The following is a 25,444-nucleotide window of genomic DNA, read 5'->3' as shown; positions in this document are numbered from 1 at the left end:
CAGAGCATTCTTTGTGTCTCTTCCTCGAATGCTTTGTGTCAGCTCTGATTACAAAACAGAAACAGGCAAGCCCCAAACCTCATGTCTGACCCCGTGCTCATGGGTGGCTGTGGCTCAGTTCCTAGCATTTGATTGCTCTGCTTCCTTCTTTTTCTTCTTAAAAGTCACAAAACCACACTCGATAAAACAGCAACAACACAGCAAAAAAGACATCCAAACCCGGAAACAGTAACCACAAAAGGTGTCAAATGGCTCCCTCCGCACATTTTCTGATTTAGAAATAATCCCGCAACGGCAAATGGGATAGACTGTGGATTCTTAGCAACCAGTTTCACTTGACGACAATCCTGAGCTTATTAGAAAAGAAATGACAAATGGTAAATAACATAGAACAGTAATAAGAAAAAACCCGCGGTGGAAAGACTCAAAGCTGTGCAGGAACAGAGACATTGCACTTTAATGAGACTCGGGCTTCTCTGGGAATAAATTAGAGGAAGAGTCTAGAAGGAACTTTCGAGTGGGAAGGGAGAGGAACTGATGGGAATTCCAGCTCCTTGGCCCGGCACTCTATGGTCCTGGGCCTGAGCTCAGGCAAAGAATCCAGACGTGGGGGGTAGAAATGGGGCGGCTTCAGAGCCTCAGCTCCAAAGACAACAAAGACGACTGCAAGGTTGAGAGGGGGCCCATGCCAGAACAGGGAGGGGCACAGGACGCCCGGAGACAGGAGCTGAGGGGTTTCAGGGGGCCCCACACTTGTCCTGTTGCCACGGCACTGCAAGGGCCCTCTCCCGGCCCAGGGGCTTCTGCCTGTAGGGGTAGGGGCCGCCACTTCCCTAATCTGAGCTCTAGGAGAGAGCCCACAGCCTTCCTTTACAGCCCTTGCTGGGCTGGGAAGAGACTTTCTGAACGGGACGCGGTTCCGGAACCACCCCAAGTGTCTGTGTCAGGACAACCAGCTATGACCACGAGGGTCACAGGACAAGCATGGGCAGAAGTGGAGGTGCGGCGTGAGGCAGGAGGGAGAGCGGTGGATGGAGAGGCCAGGGGAAGGCAGAGATGCCGTGGAAGATGCGGGCACCCACCCTGGGAAACTAGGATGTGACCGCCGCTCAGCACGGAGGCAGCAAATGACACCGCAGCTCTTCATCATCGGCTCTGTCGCCTCCTCTCCACCTGTTTCTCTTCAGGCTGAATAAAGGCTTTTCAGTAAAAAAGGGCCCAGGCCCAGTGCAGGCTGAGCCTCCCTGTAAACAGAGCTCCTGGAGGCTGTGGGTGCCGCTGATCCTGTTACATGATGAGGATCTTGACACTCCTGTACCTCTTGGCTTCCACTCAGACAGAAACCAATTACGATTCTGAAGCCTCCCACAGAGGCTTCAGCTGAAAGCCAATGAAACACAACTCCTTTCCTGTTGCAAAGAAAAACCTGGGGCTCAGGAATAAAGGGAGATTAGAGGTTCCCCAGAAGACTTACGGGAAAGCAGCAGTTTGGGGCAGTTTTGGGATAAATTCTTATCCGGGGAATCTGGGAGCCTTAGAGCTGAGTCTTATCTTCAATCCCTCTGAATTTAGAAAGGTTCAAGGTGCAGGGGATAAAATTCAAAACAGGTACATGACTATCAAGATTGAGAAAGACTTGGGTGAAGGCAAAAGGGGAGAGGCACCCATGGGAAAAGATCGCTAACACATTAAACGCTCACACTGCCAGCTCCCTCCCTCTCCACCCGCTTAGCTCCTGATGACCTGAAGTGAGGGCAAATTTGCCTCTGTGATGTGCTTTTCCCCTTGACGCTTTTTATTATTTTCCCCACGGTTTAGCAACAAACTATCCCCTCCCCACTGAACAATAAAGTCCCCTCCGTGGACAGAGGCAGCAGAGGAAGAGGCGGAAGAGGTAGTGGTGTGCGTCGTGAGTCCACAGGCAACAGAGGTGATTTGATTCTGCCAGTGTCTCGTGTACATTACGTCCAAGGACACAGCCTTTGTGTTACCACAAATCGCCAAGCTGTGGAGGGGGGAGAAGCTCTGAATGAAGCTCGGAGCTTGCTATGCACGTTCACTCCTCAACAAGGCATTTACATCATCTTTCATGTGACTTCAGCACAAGAGGGAAAAGAGTTTCTTCTCCCCGCAACATGAGGTTGATGAAGATGTAACTTACGTACAGTGAATTTCGCCCTCTGTAGGTACAGGCGGAGTTTTGATAAATGTGGAAGATATAGAACAGTTCCACACAGTTTTGCCTTCCCTGGAATGTTGTATACATGGATCATACAGGATACAGTCTTTTGAGCAGCTTCTTCCATTTAGCATGATACACTTGAGATGCATCTGTGCCACTGCGTTTATCAATAGTTTATTTAAATATTGTTCTGATGAGTCTTTCATTGTATGGTTGTATCAGCTTCTCTCTTTACGAGGTGAAGGAAACTTGGGTTGTTTCCAGTTTTTGGTGACTATGAATACAGTCACTATAAACATTCACATACAGGTTTCTGAATGAACATGTTTTCACTTCTCTTGGTGAATATCCAGGAGTAGAATGGTTAGGTTGCATGGTAGGCATACGTTTAACTTTGTAAGAAACTGACAACCTTTTCCAAGGTGTCTGTAGCATCTTGTAGTTGCAGTAGCCAAGAATGAGGGTTTCAGATGCTCCGTGTCCCTTGCCAACACTTGGTAGATTTTAAGATTCGAGACATTCTAACAGGTGTGTAGTGGGATCTCACTGCAGGGGTCCGTACTTTCCCGTGATTAAGATCCTTAACAATGAGCATCATTCCATGTCCTTATTTGCCACCTGTATATCTTCTTTGGTGGGGTGTCTGTAAAATCTTTCGCCACTGTTTTTTAATTGGGCTGCTTATTTCCTTTATCATGGAATTTTGAGGGTTATGTATAACAGCCACAAGATCTTAATCTTACGTGTTTTATAATTTTCGCTCTGTCTGTGACTTGTCTTTTCATTTTCTTAACTGTCTTTAAAAAGCAGTTTTTAATTTTGATGAAGCCCAACTTATCGTTTTTTTCTTTTTTGACTTGTACTTTTTGCATCTTATTAAAGAAGACATTGCCTAACCTACAAGGTCAGAAATATTTTTTTTTCTGTTTCCTTCTAGAAGTTTTATAGTTTTAGGTTTCACACTTAGGGCTATGATTCACTCTGAGTTAATTGTTGTATAAGGTGTGAAGTACTGATCGAGGTTCTTCTTTTTATTTTTTTTGACAACTGGTTGTTAATTGCTCCAGTACCAATGGTTGAAAAGAGTATCCTTTCTCCATTGAATTGAATTGTTTTTGCACCTTTGTTGAAAATCAATTGAACATATTTGTGTAGACCAATTTCTGGGCTCTCTATTCTGTTCCATTGATCTACGCATCTAACCTTTCACCAATCCCACACCATCTTGATTACTTTTTTTATAGCAAGTCTTGAAATAAGATAGTGTGAGGCTTCTAACTTTGTTCTTCTAGTTCAAAATTGTTCTGGTTATTTTAGTTTCCTTTTCCCCATAAATTTTAGAATAAACTTCTCTATTTTTACCAAAAAAAATCCTATTGGGGTTTTGATTGGGGTTGCATTGATCTATGTATCAATTTAGGGAGAACTGGAATCTTAATATTATTGAGTCTTCTAAACCAGGAGCATGGTCTCCATTTACTTAGACCTTTTCATTTCTTTCATCAGTGTTTTATATTTTTCAGAATACATATCTTTCACATATTTTGAAAAAAGATTTATACTTAAGTATTTCATGTATTTTGGTGCTATTTTGAATGGTACTGATGTTAAATTTCAATGTCCAATTGCTCATATGGAAATACAACTGATTTTTGTATAATGCCTTTTTTTTTTTTTTTGAGACAGGGTCTTGCAGTGCTGCCCAGGCTGGTCTTGAACTCTTGGACTCAAGCGATCCTCCTTGCCTTGGCCTCCTAAAGTGCTGGATTACAGGCATGAGCCACTGTGCCTGGCTGGAGCTTGTTAATACGATGCTGAGGACTTGGGAATCTGTGTTTTTTATTCTTGTGATATCTTTGGTTTTGATATCAGAAAAATGCTGCCTTCATATACTGAGTTGGGAAGTGTTCACTCCTTTTAATTTTCTGTGACAGGTTGTGCAGAAGTGGTATTATTTCCTCCTTAAAGGTTTGGTACAGTTGCCAGCGAAACTTTCTGGGTCAGAAGTTTTCTGTGTTGAGTTTTTAGTTAAAAACTCATTTTCTTGGCTAGATGCAGTGGCTCACATCCATAATCCCAGCACTTTGAGAGGCTGAGGTGGCTGCTTGAGCCCAGAAGTTTGAGACCAGTCTGAGCAACATAGCGAGTCCCCATCTCTGTAAACAATTTCAAAATTCGCTGTGTCTGGTGGTGCATGCCTGTAGTCCCAGCTCCTGGGGAGGAAGAGGTGGGAGGGTCTCTCGAGTCCAGGAGATTGAGGTTGCAAAGATCAATGATCACACCGCTGAACCCCAGCCTGGGCAACAGAATGAGACCCCATCTCAAACAAAACAAAACAAGAAAACTTCATTTTCTTTAATAGACAGGAACTATTCAGGTTATCTCTTTGCTATTGAATGACGTTTGGTAGTAATCTCTTCCAAGGAATTTGTCTATTTCATCTAAATTTTAGAGTTTATGCACATAAAGTAGTGATGGAAGGTATTGCACCGCTGAACCCCAGCCTGGGCAACAGAATGAGACCCCATCTGAAACAAAACAAAGCAAGAAAACTTCATTTCCTTTAATAGACAGGAACTATTCAGGTTATCTCTTTGCTACTGAATGACGTTTGGTAGTAATCTCTTCCAAGGAATTTGTCTATTTCATCTAAATTTTAGAGTTTTATGGACATAAAGTAGTGATGGAAGGTATTGCACCGCTGAACCCCAGCCTGGGCAACAGAATGAGACCCCATCTCAAACAAAACAAAGCAAGAAAACTTCATTTTCTTTAATAGACAGGAACTATTCAGGTTATCTCTTTGCTATCAAATGACGCTGGGTAGTAATCTCTTCCAAGGAATTTGTCTATCTCGCCTAAATTGTAGAGTTTATAGGCATAAAGCAGTGACGGAAGGTATATTTCTGGGCTCTCAATTCAAATCCATTGACCTATATGTCTGCTCTTAAGCCAATGCCATGGTATCTTAATTAGTGCAGCTATGTAGTAAGTTTTGAAATCAGGAAGCGTGAGTTGTTCAGTATGTTTGTCTCTTACATTTTTCTTTTGTTATTCTGGGTCCCTTATATTGCCATACAAATTTTAGTATCAGCTTGTCAATTTTTGCAAAAAAGGCTGCCAGGGATGGTGCTGAATCTGTAGAGCTATTTGGGGAGTTCTGCCAACTTAATGTTAGTCTTCTGACCTATGAATGTGTGATTTCTTTCCCTTTATTTAAGTCTTCTTTAGTATCATTCAATAATGTTTCAGTACAAGTCTTACATTTCTTTTACTAGGTTTATTCTTAAGCATTTTATTATTTTTGCTATGATTATAAATGAAAGTGTTTTCTTGATTGCATTTTTAGGGTTTTCATTACTAGTGTAGGGGATTCTGATACAAATGGTTACTGGATATTGAGCTTGTGGGTACAATACTGCTGCATTGGTTTTTAAGTTCTGATACTCTATTAAAATGGATTTTGAATGATTTTCAATATTCAGGATCATGTCATCTGTGAACAGAGATGGCTTTATTCTTCTTTCCAATATGATATGTTTTATTTCTTTTGCTCGCCTAACTTCCCTGGCTATAATTTCCAGTTCAGTGTTGAAGACAAGTGGCAAGAGAGGATATGTTTGTCTTGTTACCTTCTTTTGGGAAAGATATTTTTGTGTGTACAGAATTCTAGGTTGACAGTTTCTTTCAGCACTTTAAAGATATTACTGGACTATCTCTGTCTTACACAGTTTCTAATGAGAAGTCTGTGGTGATTCTTGTCCTTGTTCCCCTGTAAGTAATGTGTCCTTTTGCTCCAGAGGTCTTCAAGGTTTTCTCTTTATCTTTGGTTTGTGGTGGCTTAGATATGTGTCCAGCTGTGTGTGTATATGTGTGTGTGCACGTGCATGTGTGTGTCTGTATATACCATGATTTGGGATCTTTGCTGGATCTGTGGTTAGATGTTGGACTGCTTTGTACTGTCCTGAAGCTCTCAGATGATCTGCAATCCTGTTTGTTTTTTTCCCACTCTTTGTAGTCTTTGTGCTTCATTTTGGGTACTTTCTATAGACCTGTCTTTAAATTCACTGATTTTTTTCCTTGGCTATTTGAGGTCACAGATAGGCCTCTGGGGGGCATTCACTTGACTCTTTCTTAGTGTCCAACTCTCTGCTGAAATCCCTCATCTGTTCATGTTTGTTGTCTACCTTTGCTGTCAATGCCTTTAGGTCATATTAATCTTGGTTATTTCCACTCCATCTCTGATAGTTCCAACATCTGGGTTGCCCTTGGGTCTTTCTCTGCTTTGTCTCTTGATGGCAGGCGTGTTTGTCTTATATTTTTGGGGGCATCTCATACTTTTCCTTTGTTCTTTTTAGTAGACATGAGGTCTTGCTGCGTTGCCAAGGCTAGTCTTGAACTCCTGGGCTCAAGTGATCCTCTTGTCTTGGCCTTCCAAAGTGCTGGGATAACAGGTGTGAGCCACCATGCCCAGCCTCTCCTAATTTCTGAATGAATTCCAGACTTCATGTGTAGAACAGCAGAGACTAAGGTGTATATATATATATATATATGCATGCCTGGAAATGGGTGTGCCTCTATTACTAGACTGTTAAAGAGTTCAGTCAATCTAGCGAGGCACTGAAATGGGCTTGGGTTTTACTGTTGCCATGGTGACACTCAGCATGTGGCCAGCTTCGGATTCCTCTCACACTACCTCATGCTTCAAGCAGGGCCTGGGTTTCGGGAGGGTTTTTGCCAGGGTTCCCACCCCACCCTCCCTTGGTTTTTGGCTTTCCTCGTGTGTCTGCACCTTGGGGGGCTTCTCTCTCTATGCTCCTGTGCCCCTGCTACAGCTCGACTGCTGTGCCTGCTGCCTGGAGCCTGCTAGCCTGTTGGAAGGGTCCGAAGGGCTCTCTGTTGCTCTAGCCCAGACTCTGACTGAGGCAGGGCCTGTGTCTCTGGGTCTCAGGGTGGAACCTTCTCAGTGACTCTGTCCTGCTCCCTGCAGTGTGCCACACGTGGCAGGTCCTCGCCCTGCTGGAGATGGAAGGTTTTCTTTTGCAGTTCTTCTGTGGCAGTGGGTCTTCGCCTGTGCTCTGGGGGCGACAGGGTTTGCTGTCTTTCATCAGGAGCTGCAGGTTATGTTCTGTGGGGAGCAGCACAGGAGAGCCTGCTGCGGGCCCACACCTCTGAGGGGCTCTTCTCGTGTCCCACCTCAATCTTCTGGGTGAGGGCCCAGTGGACGTCCATGGCCTGTGCAGCCTGTGGCTCCCAAAGGTTTGAGATTCTCCATTGGTCCAGGTTTAGCCTTGCGCAAACCACTGCCAATTTCAGGTGAGCATTTCTCCCTGCTGGCCCCTTCTGCTCTGCTGCAGGGAACTGGTGCTCATGGTCCGGCTCTCCTTGGAGGCACCTCTTCCCTTCCCTGCTGGGCAACTCACTTCCCCTGCCACCTCAGCTCTCTGATGAGTTCAGGAAAAGTCAGAATTTTATAGCTTTTCTGCCCTTTTCTTATTTCCAAGGTGGGAGTGGTGCTCTTTCCAGCTGTCTGCAGGCGGAGGTGGAACCAGGCTGCGGCTTTTACCAGAGCAATATTTCCCATACGCTTGAGGCCGAAGGAACTGCCCACAGGACCCTCTGCACGTGCAGCCAAGCAAAACCAGGATGAAACTCTCTAAGAATGCACGGTTAGAATAACCACGTATTTAATTTAAACAACACTGAATAATCACAGTGTTCTCTAAAACAAGCCTGTCTGACTTGGCTGATAAACCTGACCCCTGACTGTTTAACACTCAGCAGTAATTTACCAGACAGGCGCTGGCACTACAGCCAAGTGTGGAGAAAGGTGAGCAGAATGGCACTGCACGGTCCCTGCCCCAGCTGTGGGAGGAAGCTGTCCTGCTGCCTCGGAGACTGCGAGCACCAGAGTCCAGCTGGTGGTGGCTGAGTGGAAACAAAGTCAGAGAAGCTACGTCTCCCACTTCCACCCACCAAGTGTGTTCTTCACGCAGCTTCCATCCAAAACCAACGACTTATTCTATTCTGGTCTTCCTGGAGGGGAATCGACCTATCCATTTGCTTTCCTTCTGAACTTTCCAGGAAAGAACAGGAAGCACCCATTTTAGAAGCTGCAGCTGGGGTGGAGCCAGCTGTCCTCCTGAGGCGGGTGAAGCCCACAGCAGACTGAAGTGGATAAGCTGAAGATGAGCTGAGGATGAGCTGGGGATGAGCTGGGGATGAGCTGGGGATGAGCTGGGGATGAGCTGAGGATGAGCTGGGGATGAGGATGAGCTGAGGATGAGCTGGGGATGAGCTGAGAATGAGCTGAGCTGAGCTGGGGATGAGCTGAGGATGAGCTGGGGATGAGCTGAGGATGAGCTGAGGATGAGCTGAGCTGAGCTGGGGATGAGCTGAAGATGAGCTAAGGATGAGCAGGGGATGAGCTGAGGATGAGCTGGGGATGAGCTGAGCTGAGGATGAGCTGGGGATGAGCTGAGGATGAGCTGGGGATGAGCTGGGCATGAGCTGGGGATGAGCTGGGCATGAGCTGGGGATGAGCTGAGCTGGGGATGAGCTGAGGAGCAGCTGGGGATGAGTTGAGGATGAGCTGGGGATGAGTTGAGGATGCGCTGGGGATGAGCTGGGGATGAGGATGAGCTGAACTGAACTGAGGATGAGCTGGGGATGAGCCAGGGATGAGCTGAGGATGAGCCGAGGATGAGCCAAGGATGAACTGAGCTGAGGGTGGCACGAGGGGACTTCTCAGGCTCTGCCTGCTGCAGGTTTATATAAAGAATGTCACACAGAGTGTCATTCTCAGAGGAGAAAAACAAAACAAAACAGAAAAAGTCATTTTTGTGGGAGAATCTATGACAGGATGCTCAATGTTCACTGCATAGTGAGAAAAGCGGGACCGGAAGCCATGCAGGCAGGGCAACCCCAGTGCTGGGAGGGAACCCTGCGTGGGGACTATGGCCATCTCAAGTCGCTCCTTCACTGCCTGAGTTTCTAATGGTGCACTGAAACCCCAGCTGCACAGCCGCAGATCTGATGACGGGCAGTGCAGCTTCCGCATCCACCCTAGAGGAGCAGATGCTCTCAGGGCAAAACAAGATCCCCATGCTCTGCGGAGCCGCCAAACGGAAATCCCCACTGTAGCTTTAAGGGCTGTGTGAAATAAACTGGGTTCTGCGTGTGATGCCTCCCAACAGCGTATCGACTCTTAAAGCTTTTTATAATTAAAAATGGTATTTTAGTCTGTTTTAAATTGCAAAACTAATAACTGTTCTTTCTAAAAAATTCAAATCATCCAGAAGTAAATGATGAAAAAAAGAACAGTCCCCTTGCCTGGCTCCAACTCCACCTTCTAGAAGTCACTGTGTGGCCAGCCTGCTGTGTAACTGGCCAAGCCTCCTCCCGTGCTTGTTCCAGTCTACAGAAGCACAGAGCTCGTGCAAGCATTTTGTACAATTTGATTATTTTACCTTTTGGATCAAGGACATCCAACCAAGTCCTCATAGAAAGATACAACTTAAAGAATTTTAATGGTTGTATAGTATTCTAACCCATGGATCCATCATTTTAAATTAACTCTCCTACTAAGTGATTCTTTTCAACTTTTTCCCATTACAAATCATGTTATCATGAACATCTCCGGGCAGAACCCTTTCATGGACATGTATATTAGTGGTTTTTAAGAATATATGCCTCCTAGCAGGATTGCTGGCTTTGCAGGTATACCCTTTTCTAATCCTGACAGTTACTGCTTAATTGCCCTAAGCAAAGGGAGTACTGGACCCACCCACCAACAGTGTCTGAGAGTTCACATGCCCCTACAGCCTTGTAGGGATTGATTCTCTGGATAGAATCAATTTTTGAAACCTTCCAACTGAGAGAAGAAAAAAGTTGTATGACTTTTGTAATCAGAACACAATTCAATACATCTTTTTCTTTCTTAAGCACACGGCAGACCATTTTTAATATTCTTTTGTGGTTTCTAATGTAGACACGAGCTCCGTAAACCAACATGGGAAGAAAGGAGGTTGCTTCACCAATCAAAGGTGAGCCGCAGACAGAACACGGCTCTTTCTAGTCATACGGACCTGTACGAAATCTGACGGTGAACTAATAAAAACGTTAGCAGACGCTGTCCTTACCACGGTGTCCTTGGATGCTCATCCTGCTAATCGCTAGTTGCATGTCAGTGTAAACTGGTCATTATTTTGTGACCTGGTAACTGTTTTAGTTTCTTATATACCTTGAAGCAGTTTCGGGTTTGCAGTTCTTCTGTTCTTTTTTAGGTTCAATCCTAGCCTTAGAGCTATTTTTAGTTTACATGTGAAGCAGGCTAATAACAAGAAGTTCCTAATGCAGCTCGTTACACAAATGTCATTAGATGATGAATTAAATCAGTAAAAGAATACCTTTATGAATACCACCTAGAAAAAGTAGGAAAACAATTTTTTTTTTAAACAAGAGAAAACACGTCCTGCTTCCTCTTCTGAAGTTTGGAAAAGGTCTCTAATGTTAAAGACACTCCTAAGACTGCAGTTGCTATCAGGAGTTACAGACGACGCCGACCACAACACGGCGCTCTTTTCCATCATGACACCCAGAGCCTGTTGTTTCAACGACAACCAAGTGAGCATTTGTTTTCAAATACTTGGCAGGGGCAGAGGAAGACAATCATTTACTCATTCAGCAACCGTTTCCTGATCAACCTCCTGTGTGATGGCAGCTCCTACATGGATCCCCTTGGACTAATCTCCTCTGCAGTGTCCACACAGCAGGACCTGCTGGCAGGGCCAGACCACAAGGCTGACACCCTCCAGCTCCTCCGTGCGGGCGGGAATTCTCAGATGTGCAAATGGAGGAGATGAGGGCAGGCGGAGGAGGGGCTGCTAATCTGAAGAAAGGGAGAGGAGACGCTGGCTTGGGGCTTGCACACACCGGAACAAATAGACACACACACACAGACACACAGAAACACACAGACACACACACGAGATACACATACACACATACAGAGATACACACACACATCACACAGACAGACACAGGGATACACACACACACATAGAGACAGACAGACAGACAGACAGACAGACACACACACGGCCTTCCACATGCCTCTGGGGAACTTCCTCCTGCAATCAGCTGCTGTGTACTTAAAAATGCTTAGGAAAGGAAAGCAAATCCTTTGGGGAAAAGTCAAATTCATTTTTAAGTTTAAGAGCAATGAGTTTTGGATTATCTATGCCATTCCTCTTTCATCATAGGATAGATGACTGAGAATAGGCATTTTTCAAGGACTTCAAGAAAAGCCTCTCGTTATCACACCAAGAAATTACCAACATGTACAGCCACTGCCATCCCAGCAAGAGCGAAGACCAGACCATGTGGGTTTCTTAGTCGCCTGACCTTGTCTGCCTTAAGCACGAGACCGCATCAAGGACACCAAGCTTGTTAACATTAGACTAAATTCCATTGACTTTTCAACAGACTGGGCCGCAGTTCTAGAGGACGGCCTGGCACCCCTGGCACAGTGTCCAGCCACCTCCCAGCTCTGGCTCACTCAGAGTTTGGGTGGCTCCTGCTTCCTGCATCCAATTCCAGGATTTGTGTATGCTTTCCTTTCCTAACCAGAAGCCTCCTAGTGATGGGAAGGGGCACTTCCCTCTGTCTGCAGGGGCCGCCACCCTCATGCCACCCGCAGGTAAGCAGCGGTGAGCCCAGCAGGTGGGCCTGGTGAGGGGCTTCTGACTAGGACTGAATCCACCAGCCTCAATGATCTCCTGGGGTTTGTTTCTTTGATTCTTTTCCCCCGACTCTAAAGGTGCTTCGTGCTTAGTGTAGAAACTGCAGAAGAGGCACAAAAGAAGCCCAATTCAGTGCAGTCGTGGGTGGCGCCATTTGCGAATCTCTAGTTAGGAGCGGGCTCTGCTGGTCTCCGTCGTATGCACATCTGTGTCTGTATGAGAAGCACGGCTGTGATTGTTCTGTAAATCTGGCTTCTTGGTCTGCATTTTGCATTTTTTCTTTTTAAGGAATGTTGTCATGAGCGCTTCCTTAGGACACTATTTTTAATGTTTAACTTTTCAGTAGCTCCAATAATATCTCATCAAATATTTCATAACTTTTTAACTATTCACCCTCTGTGGACATTTAAGTGAATCTCAATTTTCGTTCTTAGAAACAACACGGAAGTCATCTACATCTCTGATTATTTTCTCAAGACAGTATTTTAGCAGATTCATGACTGGGTCAAAGGGAACGGCTATTTAAGGCGTTTGATGCTTCCCGGCAAGACGCTTTCTAGAACAGCCAGGCCACTGTCCACCCAGGTTCATGTGAGAAGAGGGAGGCGAACTCCTCTCTCTTTGCAGTAAAGGGGCTCCGTAGTTCAAGCTTCATGGCTTGCCTGCCTCAGGGGCTGCCTGATGGTTCTGTTTTTATGAACAGAAATCAGCATTCACTATGAAGACAGGACCACAGGGACTGAGCTGTCATGGGGTCCAAATACCATTCACAGAGATGACTAAGACGCAAGCTTGATATACAATCGAGAATAAGCTGAGAGTTTCAGCTTTCAATTATATATGAGGGAAGAGGCAGGTTTGCTCAGAATGCACTTTAGATTTATAGAAAATCTCCACGAGTCCCTGCTGGGCCCTGGCAGAGAGATGAGCACTGGGACTGTGCTGACAAAGCAGCTCCCGCCCCATTCCTCGAAGAGGCCGAGAGCCGCCGCCCTGCCCCAGCCTGCAGGAACACAGCCACTGCGTCCACAGCACACGGCGCTTGTTAGGGCTGTGTCAGGGTTGAGCCTCAGAGATGGTCTTGTGGTGTAACCCCAAATGCGCTAGGATTGGCTGCAGCAGGCTGCGTCTAACAGTCCCCAGACCTCGGAGCCACGCAAGCGTGGCCTTGGGATGGGCCTCGAGTGATCCTCACCATTAGGGAGTGGGAAGGCCTGTGGTGACCCTGTCAGTTAAGGCAAAGTGACACCTGTCACACTGGGAAGCTCCAGCGAGGCAGGTTTTCTCTTTTCGTTTGGCGACAGGAAGGTAAGTGAAGTTTGTTTCTTCTGCGGTTCTACCTCAACCGTGACCATCACTACCACGACCACAATGGGACGCTCCCACAGCCACAAGCCTTGAGCGTTTATGCTCAAAGAAGTGGGACAGACACATGTTCGCTAGGACTCTACTCTGAACCCCACACCCCGGGCGCACCTTCATGACGGGCTGGGCAAAATAGCGGGCGCTCCAGTCGCAGAACCCCGTCTGCACCGTGGCGGAGATGAAACTTTTGTGTCCAGCAGCATCGTCCGCGTCGTCCGCAGTCTTCAGGGTTTAAGCAGGAGGGTTGGAAGGAAAAAGAAACACCAGTCAGTCATGCCACTCCTGAGCTCAAAAGAGCTGCAGCTGGGGACAAAGGCGCTGCCGGGAGCACCGGGCTGCCCCTAAGGACGGCACTTCTGTGCTCTGCTCACTTCCGTATCCTGGTGACCAAGAACCCCTGAACGTCTGGCCAGGGATTGAGGGGCCCGGGCTGTGAAGTGTGAGCCACGTCGGTCCCACCATCCCCAGGGCCGACCCAGCACAGCTCCCAAGTCAATTCTAACTGACTGTTCAGACAATGCCACGTGCGTCCATGTGTGCTGGTTTATCAACCCCCAAAAAGCCTCTGCCGCTTGGTTCCAGGACAGCTCCTGTGATGGCCCCGTGACACCAGACTGAGAGCGGGGACTCCCATGTGAAGTGGCCTGGACGGAGCGCACAGCTTTGCAGGCCGGCTGGAGCTCCCAGCTACTGGAGAAAGAGGATGTGGAGCTGAGGAGGACTGAGCTTTGGGTGTTTCCTGTTGTGGAACCTGTGGCGGCCAGGGCTGTCAGAGTCTGTGTGTGCTTGTGGAGTGAGGCTGGGCACCAGGGGTCTCCTGTGCCACGCCATGTGGCCTGCTGGCGTCTCTCACGCTGTGTCTTGGCACAGGGAGCTCCCCATGATCTCAGGGCAGGTGCAGTGAGAGGTGCATCCCCCCCACCCCGGGGGGTCGGGTGGGTGAGCTGCACGTGCCGGTAGCATTGCTCCCCAGGGCCTGGCCAGGAGGCTGACCCTGCACTTGGGGCTCGGTGGTGATTCTCGCTCCTCCTCTGCCGAGACACGGAAAGTCCAGGTGGGCTGGGGCTGAGCAGCACCTGTGGGGACCTGTCCGCTCTTGCCGTGACAGCTCTTCTACCCCAACATGGCCGTTCCTGCTCCAGGGCATCCTGCAAGGCGGCCGCTAACTTCTTTTAAAATCACTGGATTACCAAGCGAGCCCCGGACCCCACTCATTGCTGAGATGATCATGCTGTCAGCACCCAGAGCAGCTGGGTGTGCTGGGTGCGCCCTGAACCACCTTCTTGAGCCCAGGTGCCCTCAACTGACAAAGTGGCAGCACCTGGACGAGACAGCCGAGGTCTCCGGACCAGCTGCCACCTCACACCACTCTCATAACCCTGGCAAAACAAAGCAGGCATTCCTCTCTCCAGAAATATCTTTTTCAACTTAGTTAAAGGCAAAGAGAGTGTACCTATTTATGCAGCGTACTTGGATGTTCACAGAAAAGACAACACATTCAGAACAAATGCTCTGCAGTGCAGCTGCCCCCAAGCGGACGCAGAGTGCTGTGTGCCCAGGAAGGGCAGAGCCAGGTAACTCCGTGCTCCTGTTTCGTTACATGGAAGCTGCCCAGAATGGTGAAACCAGAACCAGGGGCGGAGAACCGGGACACACCCAGCAGTGCTCCTAAAGAGTGCAGGCAGAGGGACCGGGACACACCCAGCAGTGCTCCTAAGGAGTGCAGGCAGAGGGGTGCACGAGTGAGGACCAGCACCCGGGTCTGCAAAGGCAGAGAGTGGCCCACAGACCCAGGACGGCAGGGTGGGTCCTGCCCCATCCCATGGTGATGTGAGCAGCCTGAGGCTGAGGCCATGAGCCCCCATCTGAGAAGCAACGCTCTCAGTGTCCAGATCACCAGGCAGCCGGGCTCCCGTACCTGCTCTGGGCCCTTGTCGAACATCTTCCGTGTCCGGGGGAACTGGTGGGAGTGAGGGGTGTACTGCGCCCCAGCGGGGCCTGTGGTGCCCGGCCGGCCAGAAGGCAAGTCTCGGCTGACCGGCTGCTTGGCCACATCGTTGGTCAGGCTGGAGCTGCTGGTGCTGGACGCCGGAGGGGAGCCCCTGCCATTGGAAGAAAAACAAACACTGCATCCTCTGCAGAGTCTGGGGCTTCGAGAGGGAACATGGAACAACTTCCTGGGCCACCTGCACCCTCCCAGGTGCCACCAGGGCCCGGGGTGTCCTCAGTCACCCAGCATGCCATCATGGCTCCCGAACCCCAGCTGCTGGTGCCGAGTCCATGCTGCTCGGTTGCCCGCCTGGCAGGGGGCAGGGTTGTCCCTCATTGAACTCCAGCACCCTGGGAGGTGGCGCGGACAGGACGAACCCAGCTCAGAGTCGAGTGGGCCGGGATGTGCGAGCTCAGCACACAGCAGTGCCACGTCCTGAGGTGCAAACACCTGTTGGTTACCCATTTGGAGATCTAGATCCCCTCTTACAAACTCTGAAAGGCCACAGAGACCAGGCTTCATTCAACTTTTGCTGAGATGATGTGCACATGAAGGGTTCCTCAAGATGGGGAGAGCTCAAGGCAGGGCTCAGATCAGGCGGGTACCGGGGTGTCCGGGAGGGAGAGGGAAAGAACGCCCGCTGGAGAGGGGGGAGGAGACGAAGCCAAGACAGGGCGGGGAAGGAGGAGGATGGGGAGGCCGGCTCAGGGACAGCTCAGCCCGTGGGGCCCCGGTCACCACCACGGACCTGCAGGCTGAGCGGGCGGCACTTACCCCGCCTGGTGGATGTGCACGCCCTTGTTGGTGGGGCTGGCGGGGGCCGACTGCGTGAGGGAGGAGGTGTCCAGGACGCGCTGCGGCCGGGCGTTCACGGTGGCCTAGGGGCAAAGGAATGGGGGTGTGAAGGTCAGACGGGACGTGCTCCGCGGAGGCCGCCACACGAAGCAGAGGCTGGCGTGGAGCCGCTTCAGAATCACAGAAAAGGCCTTTGGCCGAGGAAGCACCAACACCAATGGAAGGCCCCAGCTGGATCCCCCGCAAAGGCAATCCTGAAGCTCAAGTGGTATTCTTTACTCTTGGACATGCATCCACTGGGCTAGCCCTGGCGTGGCCGTGTGAGCCGGGATGTCTGGGGAGGAAGCTCTGCCTGAGGCTCCTGAGGGGTCAGGGCCTGAAGCCTCTGAGATGGATGACGGCCCACCCTCCTCACCTTCCCTGCCAGAGGGGCGGCTCCTGGCGGCCTCAGTGTCCTCCCCCTTGCCTGAGGCTGGGCCTCCACACTGTCCCAGCCTTGAGTCCAATTCTCCCCAACACCTCAGCTCTCGGGTCAGAGGCTGCGAGTTGAGGCCCGGGAAGAATCCACCAGCCATGCTCTTTCCGGAGCCGGGCGATGTGGCATTCACGGAGGGTCAGGGAGTGCTTCATCCACCCGGGACCTGGCCGGTGGGCACGGGGTGGAAAGCCACCAGCAGCCTGAGGCCTCCACGCAGGCCACTGTTTACACCCCCGTGTGCTTCAGGAGGCCACAGAAACTGTCAGAGAATGACTGCAGGGGGCTTGGGCTCTCTCCAGTGGCAAAATGGGCTCTGCTGCCTGGACTGTGACGGGGCCTGGAACTCAAGACCGCCCTTAACATCCTCCTGGCCGAGGGGCTGTGGTCATCCTTTCCCACGGGCGCACGCAGGTGGTGCTGGGTGCACTGCATGGACGGGGAACCTTCATCTCCAGGGCAGACATGGCTGAAACCTGCCCTGGGGAGGGGCGCACTGGCAGGGGAAGGGGATGGCTGCTCCCGGAGGGTGGGGAGCAGGGTGGTGCACAGCTGGCACAGCCTAGTGGGCAGCATGAGGCTCCAAACCACCCCTTCAACCCAGCCGTCTGTGGATGAAGCCAAGACCCTGGGCTCTGAGAGCCTCCTGCCACAGACACCTGCAGGGCTTGAAATTCTACCACAGAAAAAGATTTGTACCAGCTTGAGCCCTGGCATTCAGGAGGCAAGAGGTTTTGCTTTTATTTTTTAAAGCAGGGTTTTCTGTGGATCTGGAGACCAGCTGTCGGCGTTAGTGAGCAGCCGTGAGAAACCACGCAAGGCAGGGCGTGCGCTGCCCGGCCACCGACATGACCTCGCGAGGGCCCAGGTGCTTCGGGGTGGTTTTGTTCTGAGTACACTGCTCAGTGGGGGGAATGCGGGTCCCGCTGGGTTCTGGACTCCAGAGGCTGTGCGCGTTCAGAAGGGGCCTGATGGTGCTGGGGCAACCTCATCTGTGTCAGGAGGATGGGGCCAGCTGCTCCATGAAGGTGCCCACTGATCCCGCAGGCACAAGCCATTCCCTGAGCGCCGGCCCATCCCAGGCTGCGCTCCAGCCAGACAGAACCCTGTCCTTCAGGTCCGCATCCGCGTGGAGCCTGCAATGTCTCATGCTTTTAATTATTCACTTAGAATTTAGGAACCTTGAACCTGCAATTCAGCCAACAGAACACCAAGGAAAACAAAACGATCCTGAAGTCTTCACTCATGTAACACCCACGCTTCCCAGATTGTCCTTTCCTTCAAAACGCAAATAGCAAGAAAATGGAACCATAACTTGTCTTTAAGCAACGTTCCTATTTTTTAAATGACAAGAGTAATACATGTTCTTTCTGAGCTTGTTTTGTTTTGGTATTAAACTATTCGGCCAGCCCTAGACACATACAACCATCCCACAGAACCTGCCAGACATATGATCCCTTCAAAAGTCTAAAAAGAGAAAAGCAAGTTTTCGACTGTGAACTTTATATGTGCCTTCTCAAAATGTCTGGAAAAACAGTGGGAGGTGACGGGGAAGACAGAAAACTTCTGGAGTTGAAATGAAGCCTTTAGCAAAACCCACACATGCTCAGACGCTCACGGAGCACAAAGGCTCAGGCGCTGCTGGGCTGGGGCCGGTGACTCAGGAGCCCTGGGACGTCACGCTGAGCCGCCTGGGGTCTGTGCAGCTCCCGCCTTGCCACCCTGCACGGAAGCGCCCGTGGGAGTACCGCATGGAGCCGTGGTGACGAACCCTCTGCTCTGCCCACTCTTCCAGGCAGGGAACTGATCCGGGCCTCGGCATGAATTCTCGCAGCCCCTGGGGTTATAAGATGAGACCATCCTGCTTTCACATGGCTTGTACCTGGGGCTGCTGTCACAAAACTAATTTTCCACCACTTCTGGAAATCTCGTGAGACAGACACACACCTGGATCAGGAGCCCCCCCCACCCCCATTAGTGTAGTGACCACAGGGGGTTGGCCTGGAGGGAGCTTTCTTTAGCTGTGCACTTCTTATTTGTTCAACATTTACTCAGCGTTGATTGCGCTGGGTGTGGGGCCAAGATTGTGAACATGAGTAGCGTGTCCCTCAGAGGTGACCTGGCAGACCTGCCTGCCTGCGGTGTCGGTGTGAGGACAGGGTACGCAGCGAGCAGGAGCTGCAGAGCTGGCTGGGGCAGGGGCAAAGGCAGAGGACCAGGGAGAGTCCTTTCTGCTGGTCCCTGCCACCATCTTAGAGAGCGCAGCACCAGGAAGGGTGAACAGAGAGGGCACGGCAATGGCAGAGGCTGGGTTTGGAGATGCAAACTGGAGGGCTGAGTGCGGCCCGCACAGCCTCTGTGGGCCCAGGCCTGCCTGGAGGACACGGCGCCCTTCTCAGCATGTACACCCCCAGAGCCCCGGCTCACTCGCAGCCTGCAGAGGTCAAGGGTGTGCAAACATGCCCTCTAGGGAGGTCTGCGTCCAGAGAGGACGGCAGCTGTAAGAGGGTCAAGGTCCCGGCTACAAGACAGGGCCTTTCTTCCACTCCCCAAGCCAACCTTCGGTGGTGGCAGATACGACTTTGCTAACAGTCGAATGCTCAGCACAGACACTCTCTTGGGCCAGTGCGCACATGAACACGCCTGGAAGATGGAGGTGCAGGTGTCTTTTATCCACCCCCGACTGTTGCAGCTGCTGAAGCGGGGACTGGAATGAGACCCACCCTGTCTCCTGTTCCGGGAGCGCCACCTCACAAGGACACGGGGGCGTCTGATCCAATGCAGATGAAAATACCGTACATTTCAGAGACTTGGACAGTGAATTTTCCCACTGGATCTTGACACAGTCAGGGCTGCGGATGCCAGCGTCAGCTTCTGGCTGCTCTATCTTGGGAGGAAGTGGAGTATTTCAGAAATGTTCCTGTTAATTTTATATCGAGGATCTGGATTCATGTGTGAGAAACTCTTAAAAAGGGATTCCCAGAGGATTATCCAGAGGCACTTTTGGGCTAAGAATAGCGCAGAGGCCGCTGGCTGCTTGGTGGGGGAGAAGAAACCCCTGCAAAAGCGTGTGCTGCTATTTCTTCAAGTCATTTTCCTGCAAACTGCGTTTCCTAGATAAATCCTACGAACTCTTCTTTTGGAAAAGTAAGTCCTAGGTATTATTCCATTAAAGCAACGTGGTGACTCTTAACAAGATGCCCATTAGTTACAAAGGAAGCCTTAAGGAATTTCACTTGGGGCCACGGTGCCCTCAGTCCTAGGCGCTGCGGGAAGAGAACGCCGCGTCAGTGGAGGCCGAGGTGTCTCAGCCCACCAGCTCCTTCCCTCCTCAGACCCGGGTGTGTGGGAAGGCTCGGGAGGTTCTGGAGTTGCTGTGGCCCCTTTTCCACAGAGGATGGTGAGATGGCCAAGGAGCTGATGGCGACATAGACATGAGTGCTGATGATGCAGCTGGCTGTGTGGAGCCCTCTCTGCACCTGGGCGGCACAGGACACAGACACGAGTGCTGACGATGCAGCTTGCTGTATGGAGCCCCCGCTGCACCCAGGCAGCACAGGGACGGGGCTCTGCCTTTCTTACCACAGCCCTAGGGGGTGGGAGTCATACAATGATCCCAGTTTTAAGTTTTATAGAGGAGAAATGCAAGCTGAGAGGCATGAAGTCACTGGCTGAAAGCTAGCAGAACTAGAATGGGGCTCAGGGCAAAGCTGGTGCTTGTCCTTGCCTGAAGGAGCCCCAGGCTCCAAGAGCCAACCTAGTGCCTCATGGCTATGACCCCCGTGAGGGTGCTCATGGCTATGACCCCCGCGAGGGTGCTCATGGCTATGACCCCCGCGAGGGTGCTCGTGGCTATGACTCCGGCGAGGGTGCTCGTGGCTATGACTCCGGCGAGGGTGCTCGTGGCTATGACCCCCGCGAGGGTGCTCGTGGGGCAGCCGCTGCCTGCAGCTGCACAGTACTGTCTCACTGAGAACAGATTCCCGGCCGCCACCCCAGAGCCTGGAGTCTGCATCTCCGCAGGGGAACAGGGCATCTCTGTCTGGATGGGCGATCCAGGGGTGCCTCTGCTCTAGCTGGGCAGGGGCCCACGGGCCAGCATTGGGCAGCGTGGCTCTAAGGCAGGGCCACATCTGATTCTGTAGCTATGCTAGTCCAGGCTGATGCTGCCCTCGTTCCCCAGGTCTGCAGTGAGGGGAATGAGCATGTGCATGACAAGCTTTCAAGCCATAGGTGTGACATGTGTCCAGGCTGTTCATGTTCATTAGTGCTGCTGGCATGCCACATTCCTGGGGCGGCTCATCCCACTGTTCTGAGCATCCATCCTTGTGGTGGAGGTGCAGGAACTAAGACAGGTGAGGTGAACGCTTGCTGAGGATGCAGAGGGTGTGCACGCCCGTGGCTTGGTGGGAGAGGCAGTCAGACACTTCCACACAGCAGGCCACCGCTGAAACCAGGCAGGGGTGGGATGGGCAGCACGGCCTTCAGGGGCTGGACGTAGAGCTCACGATTCCCGGAGGGGCCCTGAGCTGGGAGAGAGTCCAATGGCTTCAGAGAGGTGCAGTTCTAGAGGGAGGGATCACGGTGGCAACAGAGAACTGTCTGTCTCAGTTAAGGAAATGCCATTTGACGAGGTTAAAAAGAAATCAGAATATCTATATGCAGATCGGCTGAGATCACTGGAAGAGAAATTTCAGAGAATTTCAGAGGTAAAGACAGTTTTAGCAGTGCAGAACTACTTTGGTCTAGAGGTTAATTGCAAACATGCTGAATTAAGAAATCCTTACGATTCAGGCAGCTTGAGAGAACAGAGGGTAGGGAGACACAGACCGGGCTCTCTGGGTTCTAAGAGAGGCTGTCAAGTAGGAGGAGAGAAAATTCTGGCATGACAATGTGATTTTAAAAGAAATGTATCCATGGCCGGGTGCAGTGGCTCACGCCTGTAATCCCAGCACTTTGGGAGGCCGAGACAGGTGGATCACTGGAGGTCGGGAGTTCAAGACCAGCCTGGCCAACAATGGTGAAACCCCGTCTCTACTAAAAATACAAAAATTAGCTGGGCATGGTAGCGCGTGCCTGTAATCCCAGCTACATGGGAAGCCGAGGCAGCAGAATTGCTTGAACCTGGGAGATGGAGGTTGCAGTGAGCTGAGATCGCGCCACTGCACTCCAGCCTGGGCGACATAGTGAGACTCAGTCTCAAAAAAAAAAAAAATGAAACCTATCCATAAGTAACTCATGCTACGAAAGCATGAAGCCAGGCATCAGGCTTAGGATGTTTGGTGCTTTGGAATATGCTTTCCTGGATATCTCAATCTTTATTTTCATTCTCTTTTACTTTTTTCAGATAAGAGTCTCGCTCTGTTGCCAGGCTGGAGTGCAGTGGTGTGATCTTGGCTCACCGCAATCTCCGTCTCCTGGGTTCGAGCAATTCTTGTGCCTCAGCTTCCTGAGTAGCTGGGACTACAAGAGTGCATCACCACACCTAGCTAATTTTTGTATTTTTAGTAGAGACTCTTAGCCAGGCTGGTCTGGAACTCCTGGCCTCAAGTGATCCGCCCGCCTTGGCCTCCCAAAGTGCTGGGATTACAGGTGTGAGCCATCGCACTCGGCCAATGTTTATTTACTTTATCAGTAACTTAGGTCTTCATTTTATAAGTAAATCAAAATGTCATGGGATCCTTGGGGTATTGCTTTGCCAGCCAGAAACCTCTGTGGCTGGTGACGCCTTTGCCCGAGTTTTTACTTGGACCCACTGGGCTTGTTATGCCCATTCAGCCTGGCAGGCTGCGCTTGGCTCACACTGCTGGCCCGCATCTCACACCTGCCAAAGGCAAGCCAGGCGCAGAGTGGTGAGGGGTGTGAGAGTGAATGTGGGGTCCAGCCACTGTGCGCAGCCATGCATGCTGGCTGCAGGGGGGTGGGCAGCTCTAGGCACTGGCATGGGTGCCTGCTCCCTGCAAGGCTGTGGCTGGGCCAGGTGTACTACAAGCAGCTTCAACATCTGGCACTGGGGAACGTGGTGGCACCTGGAAGCTTGGAGACGCCAGGAACTGCAGAGCCCCAGAGATGGCATCACAGCCCTATCTCAGGGAGCTCCTAGGTCTGGGTTCCCTGAAGGGCTGCAGCTCTTCTCTCCTTTTCTCTTCTCTCCTTCTTGTCATCTGCAAAGTGGCAAGCAAGGGGCATGTTTCAGCCCTGTTTGTGTTAGAGCTCTTGTAGCCCTGACATTTGGTGGGTCCCAAGTTCTTGTCCTGCATCCAGGAAGAATGAGGTACACGGACAAGTGGAGGTTAAGCAAGCTGAAGAGGAGCTTTACTGAGCAACAGAATAGCTCAGAGGAGACCCACAGTTGGTAGCTCCTCTCCGGAGGCAGACTGTCCTGATAAGTGTTCTGCTCTCAGCAGAAAAGAGACCCTGGAGTGGTTAACTCCTCTCTGCAGCTGGTTTTCCCGACGTCTGCTCAGCTCTCAGCAGAGAGGAGACCCTGGAGTGGGTAACTCCTCTCCGCAGCTGGTTTTCCCGACGTCTGCTCAGCTCTCAGCAGAGAGGAGACCCTGGAGTGGGTAGCTCCTCTCCGCAGCTGGTTTTCCCGACGTCTGCTCAGCTCTCAGCAGAGAGGAGACCCTGGAGTGGGTAGCTCCTCTCTGCAGCTGGTTTTCCCGATGTCTGCTCAGCTCTCAGCAGAGAGGAGACCCAGGAGTGGGTAGCTCCTCTCCGCAGCTGGTTTTCCCGACGTCTGCTCAGCTCTCAGCAGAGAGGAGACCCTGGAGTGGGTAGCTCCTCTCCGCAGCTGGTTTTCCCGACGTCTGCTCAGCTCTCAGCAGAGAGGAGACCCTGGAGTGGTTAACTCCTCTCTGCAGCTGGTTTTCCCGACGTCTGCTCAGCTCTCAGCAGAGAGGAGACCCTGGAGTGGTTAACTCCTCTCTGCAGCTGGTTTTCCCGACGTCTGCTCAGCTCTCAGCAGAGAGGAGACCCTGGAGTGGTTAACTCCTCTCTGCAGCTGGTTTTCCTGACGTCTGCTCAGCTCTCAGCAGAGAGGAGACCCTGGAGTGGGTAACTCCTCTCCGCAGCTGGTTTTCCCGACGTCTGCTCAGCTCTCAGCAGAGGAGACCCTGGAGTGTGCAGCTCCTCTCTGCAGCTGGTTTTCCCGACGTCTGCTCAGTTCTCAGCAGAGAGGAGACCCTGGAGTGTGCAGCTCCTCTCTGCAGCTGGTTTTCCCAACGTCTGCTCAGCTCTCAGCAGAGAGGAGACCCCGGCATGGGTAGCTCCTTTCTGAAGGCAGGTTATGCCATCGTTTCCTTGAGTCTGGCTGAGTCCAGGGTTTTTATGGGCTTCAAAGGGGAGGAAGTATGTGCTGACTGATTCATGGGCAGCCATGGGCAGGCTTGGAAAAAGCACTAAAAGTTCCCATTCTGGTCCATCAGCCCAGCCCCCAGGCTTCAGGCTGTCCCTGGCTTGAAGGTGGCACTTCACTGGGGACCTGCCCCTTTCTGCCCAGGACCCTGTCTGCCTCCTGCCATCATCCATAACACCCAGGCTGATTGTGCCGAGGGGCACCTGCAGGCCAGTGCCAAACTGCCCTCAGTCCCCACCCTCAGCCTCCCTCCCATGCTCGTTGGTGCCCAAAGTCCAGAGGGGGCTGACATAGCAGGTGGTTGGCATGTGAGCACTGCCCCGAGCGTGTGCACAGCCGGCTGGTTGCAACAGCACCTGGGTACAGCCTCAACTTTGCTCCGAGATTGAAGTGGGTGCCAGGAGCAGGGAGAGGCCAGGGAGCGGGAGCAGACGCTTCCAAGCCTGCAGGGGTAGGGGCACTTCCTGGGCCCCTGAGAGCACAGAGGAGCCATGCCGGGTGGCTGCAGCTGCACCTGGGAGGGTGGAGCTCCTGCCCGCTCCTGGTCCCCAAGAGCAGAGATGGCTGGGTCTGGAGCCACGGCTGGGTGGCTGCAGCTGTGCCTGGGAGGGTGGGGTTCCTGCCTGCTCCCGGCCCCCAAGAGCACAGAGATGCCTGGATCCAGAGTTGTGGCTGGGTGGCTGTAGCTGCACCTGGGGAGCATGAGGCTCCCACCCTGCCAGTTTGGAAGGGGGTGGGATTCCACCGGTCCCTGCCTCCTGCCAGCTTTGTGGAGCACACGGCCCTGGCCACACCTCCCCAGCTGTAGCTGGCATCATGGCAGTGGCCGCTCCCAGACTGGCTGCCACTGCCATCAATTTGACCTTTCGTTAAGTACACCCCTTTCTCATCTCCGTCTGCATGCATGAGTCCTGCAACAGAGGCAGCGGCCAGCGCACATGCACACACACTCTTCACAGTATCAAGAGGCTGCAGCGGTGCTTCTAGGTGAGTTTGTGCATTTATGCTCACACGTTTTCTCATAAATTATAATATAAGCAGTGATCATGAGAACATGTGCCCTGACAGGTGACCACCTGTGGCTTGAAGGTTCTTTCTTGGCATTGTCCTAAAACCACTGAGGTGAGAACTGCTGGGGCCACAGGCAGGCTCCTGAGGGGCATCAGTCTCTTCTTTCTACTTCTACATAGTCTGAAATTTTCCTTAAAAAAACCTAAAAGCAGGCCAGGTGCAGTGGCTCATGCCTGTAATCCTGGCATTTTGGGAGGGAAATGTGGGTGAATCACTTGAGCCTAGGAGTTTGAGACCAGCCTGGGCAACATGGTGAAACCCCATCTCTACAAAAAATACGAAAATTAGCTAGGCATGGTGGTGCGCCCCTGTAGTCCCAGCTACTTGGGAGGCTGAGGTGGGAGGATCGCTTGAGCCCAGGAGGTCGAGGCTGCAGTGAGCCGTGACTGGATCACTGAACTCCAGCCTGGGTGATAGAGTGAGACCCTGTCTCAAAACAAAACAAACAAACAACACCCCCAAAACT

General features: G+C 51.4%; 1 protein-coding gene across 2 annotated transcripts in view; it reads right to left on the bottom strand.

The window, feature by feature from the left end:
* RPTOR (regulatory associated protein of MTOR complex 1) overlaps nucleotides 1–25,444 on the bottom strand; it is a 421,531-nt gene that overhangs the window by 27,487 nt on the left and 368,600 nt on the right. For both annotated transcript variants that reach the window (NM_020761.3, NM_001163034.2), the window contains 3 exons: nucleotides 16,055–16,158; nucleotides 15,209–15,392; nucleotides 13,402–13,512 (listed from right to left, as the gene is read on the bottom strand). In NM_020761.3, coding sequence (NP_065812.1) covers nucleotides 13,402–13,512; nucleotides 15,209–15,392; nucleotides 16,055–16,158 — 399 coding nt within the window. The remainder of the gene's footprint in view (nucleotides 1–13,401; nucleotides 13,513–15,208; nucleotides 15,393–16,054; nucleotides 16,159–25,444) is intronic.

The sequence above is a fragment of the Homo sapiens genome, chromosome 17 (genome assembly GCF_000001405.40).
Source record: "Homo sapiens chromosome 17, GRCh38.p14 Primary Assembly".
In the NCBI taxonomy this organism is placed as follows: domain Eukaryota; kingdom Metazoa; phylum Chordata; class Mammalia; order Primates; family Hominidae; genus Homo; species Homo sapiens.
This window is presented reverse-complemented; position numbering and strand designations above follow the sequence as displayed.